This window comes from Homo sapiens, chromosome 2 (assembly GCF_000001405.40).
Source record: "Homo sapiens chromosome 2, GRCh38.p14 Primary Assembly".
NCBI classification, from domain to species: domain Eukaryota; kingdom Metazoa; phylum Chordata; class Mammalia; order Primates; family Hominidae; genus Homo; species Homo sapiens.
The window spans coordinates 140,837,810-140,850,826 of record NC_000002.12 but is presented as its reverse complement, the minus strand read 5'-3'; the positions used below and the strand labels follow the sequence as shown (position 1 = coordinate 140,850,826).

The 13,017-nt window shown below is 34.5% G+C and overlaps 1 protein-coding gene across 4 annotated transcripts in view; it reads left to right on the top strand.

Moving 5' to 3' along the window:
• LRP1B (LDL receptor related protein 1B) overlaps positions 1–13,017 on the top strand; it is a 1,899,594-nt gene that overhangs the window by 1,280,190 nt on the left and 606,387 nt on the right. For 3 of the 4 annotated variants that reach the window (NM_018557.3, XM_017004341.2, XM_047444771.1), the window contains exons 29-31: positions 498–725; positions 9,735–9,909; positions 10,742–10,836. In NM_018557.3, the coding sequence (NP_061027.2) occupies positions 498–725; positions 9,735–9,909; positions 10,742–10,836 (498 nt within the window). Of the gene's footprint in view, positions 1–497; positions 726–9,734; positions 9,915–10,741; positions 10,837–13,017 lie in introns of those variants that run through there. The other variant, XM_017004342.1, reaches the window with a different exon arrangement.

The following is a 13,017-nucleotide window of genomic DNA, read 5'->3' as shown; positions in this document are numbered from 1 at the left end:
ATACACTAAAAGCACGCTTTAAATTATTTGAACCCTAATTTTTATAGGAAAAATATATACAAGATTTCTAATAGCGTGTTTAATTTTATCTTATTCAAAGACAGTATAGAAAAAAGTTGTTAGATTCCCTCAAAATCTTGTAATGCAATACAATATTGTAGTAATTACGTACAAAGTACAAATATGGTATCCGACACTCGTAGTTTATGTAGTTTAGCAACTTCGAAATTCTAAGGTCAGTGAGAATTGATTACTGAGAATGTTTGGGTGTTTCTAGCTAAAGAAAAATGATGATGTAAGGCTTCTAACTCATTTCATATTTGTTTCTATTAAATACCTTAATTTAAAATAGATAAATTGTTACTGCATTGTTTCCATCAAATATTGATTGTGATTTTTGGGAGTTAACATGTATTAAATCAAGTAATATTTTAGAATTTCTAGACTTTCAAGCTTGCCAACTTCATAAGAGAAAAGAATTTCTATTTCTTTTTTAGAAATGAAAAAATTTCTTCTTTATGCAAGACGTTCTGAAATCAGAGGAGTGGATATTGACAATCCATACTTTAACTTCATCACGGCATTTACAGTCCCTGATATTGATGACGTTACTGTGATAGACTTCGATGCATCTGAGGAACGTTTATACTGGACAGATATTAAAACACAAACCATTAAACGAGCTTTTATTAACGGAACTGGGTTAGAAACTGTTATTTCAAGAGGTAAAAGATTCGTACATGTTACAACTTTAAAAGTGTTTGTTATTCAGTTTGTAATAATCACAAATCTTTTATATTCTTTCTCTTTTATTCAACTTTATGCTGTTAATTGAAAGTTAGAATTGATTAGAGATTTAATAATATGCTACATCCTTACTATTGTAGAATGGTATAATTAAATTGCACAGAGCAGACTGATAATTAGAAATTTACATTCATGTGAAGAAAAACTTCAGGACAGATCACCTTAAAATTTAGATTTCTCGGCTGGGCACGGTGGCTCACAGCGGTAATCCCGGCACTTTGGGAGGCCGAGGCGGGTGGATCACTTGAGGTCAGGAGTTCGAGACCAGCCTGAACCAACACGGTGAAACCCTGTCTCTACTAAAAATACAAAATTAGCCAAATGTGGTGGTGCACACATGTAATCCCAGCTACTTGGGAGACTGAGGCAGGAAAATCACTTGAACCTGGCAGGCGGAGGTTGCAGTGAACCAAGATCATGTCATTGTGCTCCAGCATGGGCAAGAAGAGCAAAACTCCATCTCTCCAAAAAAATAAAAATTAAAAAAAAATTTACATGTCTAAATAAATAGACTTAAAGTGTCTTTTTTTCTGATGGAGGAATAGTTACATTTGCATAGAGAAAATATAGGATATTAGGAAGGACTGGCTTCCCTGTTTTTTTTTTTTTGGATTTTGTTTTTTGTTTTTTGTTTTTTGTTTTTTTTTTGAGACAGAGTCTCATTCTGTCACCCAGGCTGCAGCGCAGTGGCACGATCTCGGCTCACTGCAACCTCCATCTACCAGGTTCAAGCAATTCTCTGCCTCAGCCTCTTGAGTAGCTGGGATTACAGGCACCCACCACCACACCTGGCTATTTTTTTTTTTTTTTTTTTTTTTTGTATTTTTAGTAGATACAGGGTTTCAGCATCTTGGCCAGGCTAGTCTTGAACTCCTGACCTCGCAATCCACCCGCCTTGGCCTCCCAAAGTGCTGGGATTACAGCTGTGAGCCACCATGCCCGGCCTCCCTCCCCTACTTAAGCTTATAAGCAACTTCCCTTTGCACATATTTTTACAGACCTAGACTAACATATAAAACAGGAAAACTGTTCCTATTTCCTGATCCAGCAGGTTGAATTATAGGTTCTAAGAGAATGCTGTACAACTAACCATTACAAAAATAGGAGTAACTTGTCCCAACACTGAGAACATATATGAAGTGAGACATACATGTACATGTCATGGTGGAGTTCTAAATTTTTAGCATTGAATTATCCTAATATTTGCTTAAAGTTTGGCACATTGTGATTTCAGGGTCAGTTATTATTTTATTGAATGTGTCTTTATTGAGCACTTACTATTTGCCATGACTGAATATCCAAAGACGCAGTTTCTCTTCAACCTAAATTTGGTAGAAGGATTTGGAGGGGAATGGAGAAAAGAGTAATCAGTAATCCATATAAATGCATCAAACACCTATGCTTTCAAGTCTATTGAAAATTTAAAGTCAGACATATTTGAGCAATGGTAAATGTCATAATGAAGGCAATAGGAAGTGTAGATTTTATTCACTATCCTTTTCAATACTAGAAGGCTAGCTTGAGTACCATTAATAGATCTGAGAGTATTTGACCACTGAAATACAGTTGTATTTAAGCTAGCTCTTTTCTGATCTCAGGTTAGCACTGTTTAAAAAAATTTATTGAATGGTTTGGCTATAAGCTTGTTCAAATATTTATTTCGAACTTGCTGAAAAACAAGAATTTTTATAAAAAAGCAAATGCAAAGATTTCCTCTTTGTTCAGAATTTTTTTACAAGGGCAGGGGCAAATGTGGTTGGATAAGCATTGTTAGACTGGATTAAAAAGAACAATAATGACTGATGAAATGTCATTAAATTCCTTGAAAGACCAAGTAAAGGACATTAGGTGTCTCTGAAGATTGACAATCAGTTAGGTGGTCTTCCCTCAAGAAATTCACCAAAGTCTGACAGAAAAATGTTCAAGTACTTTATTATAAATATTTAATATTATCCAAAAGGCTCTGTGAATTATAAAGAGCAAAAGATGTTATATCTTAAAAAAAAATAGGAGACAATTTTCTGTCTTTAATTATGAACTGGTATCTGGTAGTAATTTGGTGAGTTTATCTTTGAGAAAATCATCAAGACTTACTTCTATTTAGCAGACTCTATTCACAATTATCAACCAAAATTTGAGCAAAAATGTTTTCTCACTAATAATTAATACATATACTCATTAGGAGCAATAATTACAGATTCAGTCATTTTGAAAAATATTGGAACATTTTCTTTTCTTTCTTCTTTTTTTTTTTTTAGATGCAGTCTCACTCTGTCCCAGGCTGGAGTGCAGTGGTGCTATCTTGGCTTACTGCAAACTCTGCCTCCAGGGTTCAAGCTATTCTCCTACCTCAGCCTCCTGAGTAGCTGGGATTATAGGTGCACACCACCATGCCTGGCTAATTTTTGTGTTTTTAGTAGAGATGGGGTTTCACCACATTGGCCAGGCTGGTCTCAAACTCCTGACCACATGATCCACCCACCTCTGTCTCCCAAAGTGCTGGGATTACAGGCGTGAACCACTGCGCCCAGCCTGAACATTTTCTATATAGTAAGAAACTTAAGGAGAGCCAAGACAGACTGAATGGTATGGAGCACAGAATGAGAGGGATGTATCTGTACAAGCTGAAAGATCTAATGAAATAGACGCCAAATTATGTCAACCTTTATAAGATAAGTTTTTAATGTTTATGTTAATTCTGAAAATAATGGGAATTAAGGAAGTGCTTCAGGGAGGGTATGACAACATGAAGAGCTTTGCCTTTGGAAGAGGCCACTTTAGCTACTGTGTTTAGTAGAGAGTTCTATGGGTTGGGAGTAGATGAGCAGTGAACTCTGAGAGACAGATTAGTTGGCTGTTACAGTGGCTCTAGTAAGAGATATCAGAAGCCTAGACTAGGCTGGGGAAAACACAGATGGAGGAACATGCACAAATTATAGAGATATCAAAGAGTAAGAACATAAAGGAACTTAACAATCAATTGGACATAAAGTTTGAGGAATAGGCATTGTCAAGGATGATTCCATTTCTGACTTACTCCACAGGCTGAATAATGTTGCCTTTCAATTTTTTCCAGAATGAAACTTTGTTAAAGATGGATATATCTTTCCATTAGCAGAAAAACTTGAGATAAACTTTTGACAGTTTAGCATCTGAACTCATCAAAGGATCTCAAATTCCACCAGTAATTGTACTTTGTTTTATCCTTTCATCTTTTAGAAATTCCATGAATGACTCTGTGGAAACCTTTCTCTTCTTGCACTGTGGGTCTCTGTATTTTCTCACTTAGCTCTCGTCTCTCTATTGGGCTTCTTCTTGAGAGACTTTATTTTCTTACCTTCCTTAGTCTAAATATAATGTGGGGTCAGCTTCAAAAATTGGGCCCCAAATAAATTCACTGTGCCTATCATCTCCCATTATTTTCTTCTCAAGTGGGCCATTTTCTTTCTTTCTTTTTTATTTTAGAAGTAGTTTTGCTCTTATTTCCCAGGCTGGAGTGTAGTGGCACAATCTGGGCTCACTGCAAACTCCTCCTCCTGGGTTCAAGTGATTTTCCTTCCTCAGCCTCCCGAGTAGCTGGGATTACAGGCACCCGCCACCATGCCCAGCTAATTTTCTGAGACAAACACTAGCTCCTTGGTTCAGGCTTTCGTGAGGGGAGGTAGAAATAGTTTGCCAGCCTTTTCATTCTACATGTCCTGAAACACCAAGCTGTTCTTAATGTATATATTGCTCACATGAGCTATTTGCTGTAAGTAGCTTGGAGCAAATAGTTTCAAAATAATTTTCTTCAGTACAAAACTCCAAGTTGAGAGCTATTTTCTATCATTCCTTTGTAGATAGTATCCCACTATCTTTTGACTTCCCCTATTGCTATTGAGAATCCACTTGTTTTTCTAATTGTCATTCTTTTGGTGATGTCTCTTTGCTCTCTAGCTACTTGTAACATCTTTGCTTTTTCCTCATTATAATATCTATATTTTGCTACCTAGAGTTGTATCTTCCATGGGGCCCTGTCTTTCATCAATCCAGGGGAAAGAAATCCTCAAAATCCTCTGTTTTCTCTAACTCAGTCTTTGTACTCTATAATTTGTAAACTCTAATTTATGTGTTGGACTTTAATAAATGTGTTGGACTATTCATTCTGCCTTCCAACTCGCTTAATTTCTTTGTTTCTCTGTGCTAACTCTGTTAACTTCTTTCAATTTGTTTTGTAGTTCACTAGTTGAACTGTGCCTAAACTGCTATTTTACACATTCAAAAATTACTTTTTTATATTATATTTTTTAATATCACAAGATATTTTTGGTTCTCATGCTTCCAAAAGAATCTTTTAAAAGGAATCATTGTGCTTATTATTATTCAAAGCATCATTTATTCCATTAAGATATTCCACCTTGTCTTTATCCTACATATAATAATTTATGAATATGTAGATTTTGGAGGATTGGACCTTTTGTTTTTTTTTCTTTTAACTGTTCTCGTATATCTCATTTCTTTGTGTGTGTTTTAATTTTTTTTGTTCTGTTACGAGGATGAACTTAATGGGAAGTGTGAGTCTTGGGTTGAATAAATTTTTTCTTTTACAGAAGACTTGAATTTTTTATTGATGGAGAGAAAAGTAGACACTATAAACCAGGAATCAGTTTAACTTTATTTTTCCCTTTCTTTGGTTTTGCAGTTAGGACAAATAGTAGGTTCTCAATGAAGACTCATTCAATAAAATAATAGCTGACCCAGAAATCACCAGTGGATTTCTTATGGCTACTAATCTTTACTAGCACAGTGGATTTCTCATATATAAGCTAGTAGTTTCTAGTAGCACAGTAGAGACCTGTTCTTAGGAATTCAGGTGTTTGTGTTTGTGTGTTTTTGTTTGTTTGTTTGTTTGTTTTTTGCCAGTGAAAGGACAGAAAAAAAGTTTTGTTTTTATTTTTTAATTGTTCTCCTTTATAAGCAGGTATCTTTTTTCTCTCACTCATCTTTCACTAGGGTGTGTCTATACCCAGAAGATCACTCTTACTTAGCTCACCCATTCTTTGTAAGTTTAAGGATTGAACCCTTTTACACTGAGCAATTCATACTCCATGAAGCTCTCAATTCTCAGCACAAGTATTTGTCTCTATAATTGCACCCACTTCTATAATCCCATTTTGTTTTCCTTGATAGTTTTAGCTAATGTGTGAGTGTGTGTTAGCATGTTGAGTTTTTCCTGTCTTATGAGCTCGACAATGCATTTGAAAATTACAATTTTTCATGCATCAGTGTTGTGGCAATAAAGGACTTTTCAGATTATACTTCATGATTAGTCTTAGTTCAAGAAATGAGAGACCCCAGAACTGGAAAATTAAACTTCCTGAGAAACTTACTCAGAGATCTTGTTCTGATTTACTTAAAAACAAAAGTTAAAACCTAGAATTTATTATTTCAATATTTTATCAAAAAGAAAAATATTATTAAATATATAACGATTTTTATTCCACCCCCACCCCCATATGCTTATGATGAGTTTACCAGAGCACTCTGCAACAACCAGATGTGGGAATTAGTGATTGATAGTCAAAAAGAAGAGTATTCTTTTAGACATAAAGATGATAATTAGAAAGTTCAATCTGGTGGGAGAAAAATGTTAAGCATAAAAAATTAGAATTAGGCTGGGCGCCTAATTAGGCTCATGCCTGTAATCCCAGCACTTTGGGAGGCCGAGGTGGGTGGATCACCTGAGGTCAGGACTTTGGGACCAGCCTGATCAACATGGAGAAACCCAACCTCTACTAAAAATACAAAAAAATTAGCTGGGCGTGGTGGCGCATGCCTGTAATCCCAGCTACTCGGGAGGCTGAGGCAGGAGAATTGCTTGAACTCAGGAGGCAGAGGTTGTGGTGAGGCGAGATCTTGCCATTGCACTCCAGCCTGGGCAACAAGAGTGAAACTTCATCTCAAAAAAAAAAAAAGTTAGAATTAAGATTGCTTGAGTACGTATTTAAATACATACTCCTCAACATAGACATATTTGACTTATTTTAGCTCAGTTCACATACTCTTAAAATTTTAGATTTTATAGTTCATGAATTCATTAATTCATTAAAAATATTTACGTTGAAGGCAATGTTGTATGCAACTGGGGAGAGGGGCCAAAAAGACACATTAGCAAGGAGCCTGCCCTCAAAACACATATGTGAAAGTAGTTATATATTAGCAAAGTAATGACTACATTAGGTAAAAAGAGATTGACCAGGTACGGTTCTATTGAATTAGGCAGGTGGAGAAACTCTTTCCAGCTGAGATACACAAGAGACATGATTAGGTTTTTGTGGTTGAAGGGATGATGTTGTTGATCAGCTAGCCTATTATGAATAAAATTCAGGCAAGTGGAGATGGGGGTAGGTTATGAAATCTAAATAGTTTCCCTATAGTGTGGAAAGATCAGGTAATATCTGGAAATCTGAAAACATATTAATATGGTTAAAGTGTAAAGTATTTGGTTAAAAATAGTGAGAAATAAGACTGGGAAAGAACTGTAGCTATAGTCACGCTATATGGAAAAGCAGGCTAAGAAATTTAGACATCACATTCTGGGTGGCTAGAAGCTGTTGAATACCTTGGGGCAAGTGAAGGTCATGATTCAAAGCTCTGTAGTCAGAAAAATAACCTGGCAGCAAATAAATCAATTGCTTAGAGGAGGAAATGCTGGATACTATTGTAATATTAAAGCTGGAAAGAGATTTGAGAGAGCATGAACTATAGAATTGACAAAGACTAGATAGATATTTATAGCTTTCATTTGGCTATGCTTTACAATTTAGGAGTGGAATATATTCTCCAGGCCATATTATTAAGAGTCTATCAGAAATGAATAAAAGGATTTCGAGCAGCAGAGACAATGCTTACCCCTCACCCCCCACCACCAAAAAAAAAACAAAAAAAAAAAAAACAAACAAAAAAAAAAAAACAAAAAAAAAACCACTTTGGAGAACATGTATTTTAGGGTAAATAGAAACTTATTATTTTTGCCAATACCAAGAAATCCAAGGTAAAATGCAGAAAAGATTAAGTTCTTAGACTGACAAAATATTCTTCAGCCCCATATCAGGCTGCATAAATACACATTATCTAATGTATTATAATATTCATAACAATCCTCTGTGTTATCTATAGCCCATTTCACAGGTAAGAAAAAAGACTAAAAGACATTTAAGTGACTTGATTAATGACAAAAATAGGCAGTCAACCTGAACATCAACCCAAATATTCTTATTACATCAATACAGCCTCTCAGCAACCAATTAACTCCAGAGAATGAAAGAAGGGGAAGAAGGAATAAAGATTCTGAGTGAGGGAAATAAATATGTATAAGACGTGGCAGGTTTAACTTTAAGGAGGTGGTATATTACTTTTGTCTAAAAAAAAAAAGATGAAATTGGTTGAGGATAACTAAAAATAAGAAGAAATGTGAAGTTTAAGATTGAGAAACAAGTTTACATTTGAAATTCACCAACTCACCTGTAAATTAATCACGAAAAGTAATTTGCAGAGTGAGAGGGTTCTTGATTTGAAGAGAACTGGAACCACGAGTAGTATCTTCTAAGGCAACTGTGATTATTAGTTACTTAGAAATACTAAAAGGATTTTTGAGCAGCAAGGTAGGCTCCCTTGAGATTCTGGCATGGAAATGTAAGCTGGAAGCCTACCATTCAAATACTGCACTTTAAGGCTGACTCAGAACTGCCAGGCCCCCACATCTTGTTTTGCTGTCTTACATTTTGAACTAGTTGGCATACTTTACAGATCTGGAGTTTCCACTTTCACATTAAAAAATCTAGCTTTCTGGCTTCTTTTGAAAAGAATAAAAAGGGAAGTTATAGCAATTCGACTAGAGGTAGGTAGCAGCTGCTCAGAAGTTTTGATTGGAATCACCAACCTTGAGCAGTAACAGAATCTTGGGCCTCTCCCCAGAACTACTGAATTAGAATCTTTATTTTAACAGTTTCCAGGTGTCTTGTAAGTTTGAGAAATAGTAGTCTAGAGAACTCTATAAGTACAGAATGCTAGAAAATACTAAAATTTTTTAAAGTAAAACCAAAATCAAGGTAATCAAATGCTATAAATTGGGCACTAAACTGGCCTACTTTATATGTTAATATTTCTTAAAAGATTTTCTGCATTTATCCTTTATAACACCTCATTTTTTTTCTTGAAAAGGTGCAGTTTTTAAGTGGAAGTTGCAATGTGCAATTATATTTAAGCCTAAATTCCATAATTGTTTTAAAAGATGTCTAATTCAATAATAAATGAATAACAACCAAAATATTTATATTGGCTGTAACAAATCCAAACTTAATTCGATTTCAGAATTTTCTGCAGAATCCACGTTGAAGGGATGTTAAAATAATTTTAGTGGATTTTCTCTTCTCAGTCAATTCCTCTTAATTATCTATTTTGAAATATATTCAACTCTGGTGATTCTTTTAGGAAAGTTGAATTGTTTTATTTCATTTTAGTAACAAATTGGCACTTAAAACATAAAATAGCCCATTTGTTGATGGCCCACAAGTACTTTCTCGTAACTAGAAAGATGTGCTATCAACTGGAGAAGCTATTACTCTAATTTGAATTTTGGTTACCTTGGCTCATAAGACTGCTGCCTGTGTTTGCTCCTAAGTGTTTATTAGTGAATCATTGACGGTTAGTGTAATTTCAATGCTAATTGTTGCTTCAGGTTTTCAAATAGCTCAGCAGTAAGACATTAATGATTATTCATGCCTTAAGAAGGGCTGATAAGGGAATGAGATTACAATCTTGTGCGATTTTAGCTAACAAATTAAAGTATAAATTAAATTTTCCCTTAGATAGAAAATAACTACTTGCAGAGCCAGTACAATGAAAAACTTCATTCACCTTTAAATCTTCTCTTTCCTGTTTTATAGATATTCAGAGTATCAGAGGGCTAGCAGTGGATTGGGTGTCACGTAATTTATACTGGATTAGCTCAGAATTTGATGAAACGCAAATTAATGTGGCAAGGCTAGATGGCTCTTTGAAAACCTCAATTATCCATGGAATCGATAAGCCACAGTGTCTTGCAGCTCACCCAGTCAGGGGGTAAAGTATGATTTTTTTTTTAAAGTTTTTCCAAAATTTCATAGACTTTTGCCCTGATTTTATATAAAAACATTGCTTAATTCAGAGGATATATATATAACAGCCATAAGAGTTAAAAAAAAAGTAAATATGGAAACTGTAAAAGAGATTCCTGGTTAGAGTTTTATTATCTGTAGATTATATATATCCTACACCAACATATATCTGTGACATATGTAAGATCTCATTAATTTATATTTCTAAGAAGTGACAGTTCTGAATAAAAAGAGATGTAGGAGAAAGTGGTTGCTTTCATTTTGAAAGCCAGTGGTTAAAAATGCATGTGCTACATGTTGGTATCATGGTCACTGCTTTGTAGATCAGATTCTTCAATCATTTGGATAGTCACCTTGTACCCTTAAGGGAGCTTGCATAGAGCTAAAAGAGATGTTTTTCTCCCTAGTGCTTTCAACAGCAATGGAAGAAATGAGTTTGTTACCCTCTATGGCATCTGATTTCTTCACAGCCAAGAGGATTCAATCTTGATGAATTACTTAACAAAGAAAATAATTTACTATAGTCTTAGCTAAATATTCAGTCTTGTATGTAGGAGGAAAAAGGAAGTGAGATATTTTTTCTTCACTAACAGGAAAAAGCAAGAGTGGTGCTTTCTTTTCAGGCAAATATGTAGGTTATTGCTGGCAAATGGCTGGACAATTTTGGAGTTTTCTGAAAAGAATTAATCCTGAGTCAAGAATATATTTTGATGTTTACTTTGTTTTTTAGTGTATATTTCTTCTCAGTGAGTAGGTCTACATCTAATATTTTCAATCCATATGTCTTTTGAATTAAGAAAACTCTACTGGACCGATGGAAACACAATTAACATGGCAAATATGGATGGCAGTAATAGCAAGATTCTGTTTCAGAATCAGAAGGAGCCAGTTGGTAAGTATTTTTTTTAATAGTCACCAAGTTTTCAATGTGACAAACCTGTACTTGTACAATATACCTTTGATCTAGATCCTGAAAGAAAATATTAAAGATTAGTAAAATAAGTAAATTCAGGAACTGACCAATTTCATTGAATCCATTGGGTTTCTGTTAGGTTTATTAGTCAAGGTTCTCTAAAGGGACAGAACTAATAGGATAAATGAACATACAAAGTGGGAGTTATTAGGAGAATTGACTCACAGGATCACAAGGTGAAGTCCCACAATAGGCCATCTGCAAATTGAGGAGCTGCAAACTAGTCCGAGTCCTAAAACCTCAAAAGTAGGAAAGCCGACAGCGCAGTCTTCAGTCTGTAGCCAAAGGCCTGAGAGCCCCTTGCAAATCACTGGTTAAGTCCAAGAGTCTAAAAGCTGAAGAACTTGAAGTGTGACGTTTGAGGGCAGGAAGTATCCAGCATGGGATAAAGATGGAGGCCAGAAGACTCACCAAGTCTGCTGTTTCTCTGCCTGCTTTTACGCTAGCAGCTGATTAGGTGGTGCCCACCCAGATTGAGGGTGGGTCTGCTTCTTCCAGTGCACTGACTCAAATGTTAATCTCCTTTGGCAACAGCTTCACAGACACACCGAGGAACAATACTTTGCATCCTGCAATCCAAACAAGTTGACACTCAATATTAACCATCATATTAGGCAAGGAGGAAACATTCTTTATCTGAATAGGAAGATTAATTTTTTAACATGATAATTTTTGCAATGTATTAAATAATGAAGTTACATTAATTTAATTTAATTAATCAATCTCTTATTTTCACTGGTGAAATATCTGATACAATGCTACAGTGGCAGTATAACTACTGAGTCTTTTCCTGATCATCATTATTGTGTCATTATTGATAATTACAAGGTTTTGGGTTTTGGTATTTAGTATTTAGTCTTTATTCACTCTGTTCATTTAGTTTCTTATTCTACCTTTGCCAACCATTGCAAATCATCAGCTATAACGTGATGGCACTGACAGGGAACCTTGACTTGTTCCCAAGAAACATCTTTGAAAATATTAAGTATAAAAATTCTCTTAGAATATAATATTTTACCCATATGCATGTAGATGTCTATATTATAATACTGTTTCGAACCTTAATCACTTTTTCCTCATGTTTTCTTTCATACCTTTGAGAAGCAAAAATTGTTACAGGGCCTATTTGTCATTTCAGAATACCTTTTAAAAATTTAGTAAGCCTCAATTTTGATATTATTATCATAAAGATGCAAATGATGGGATATACAATAGAAAATTCATTATTTTGTTTCAATTGAATACTATACATTTTTTGAATCTGGGAAAAGAATCAATATATCATGAAGCTTGTCGATTTTTTCTTAGTTTTAGAAATTTAGGGCTACTTGAAGTAGCACATTTTTCATAGTGATGATTCAATAAAGGTGTAGTATCACTAAGATTTGCAATAAATAATTCTTTTCATGTGGTCTATAGAATAAACCTCTCATATAAAATGATACTGTTAACAGCTATTTTCTTCTTTAGACAGTTTGTTCTAAGATTTTTACATAATTGAAAGTCAGGGTTGTATTAGAAATTAAAGGCAAATTGAAACGCTAATACTTCTATGTGGAAAATGATAGAACAAAAGAAACAAGGGGTTCTACAAGATTAGGACCCATACAAAGGACTTAATTTGAACTAAGGCAATTCAGTTGGTACTTATCTGGAATTGTTCAGAATATGTAACATTGAAAAATGAGTATGATAGAAATAGCATAAGCAAATCAAGTCCTTACATTGTAATTTGGCAATCATAGTTTATACCAAAATGTTAATTTATATGCTTATTTCCATAATGGTGAAAACCTTATCTTTTCTAATACTAAATATCCAGTTTCCTATTCAGAATTTTTTTAATAAAAGGCCTAACAGCTTATAATAAAAAAAAAAAGTTTATAAGAGAGGTACTCATGTTACCTATTCACAATTTATAGCTGGCCCCTCAGATGTTGTTCACCAAGTGATATATTTTTTTTTAATTATACTTTAAGTTTTCAGGTACATGTGCACAACGTGCAGGTTAGTTACATGTGTATACACGTGCCATGTTGGTGTGCTGCACCCAGTAACTCATCATTTAGCATTAGGTATATCTCCAAATGTTATCCTTCC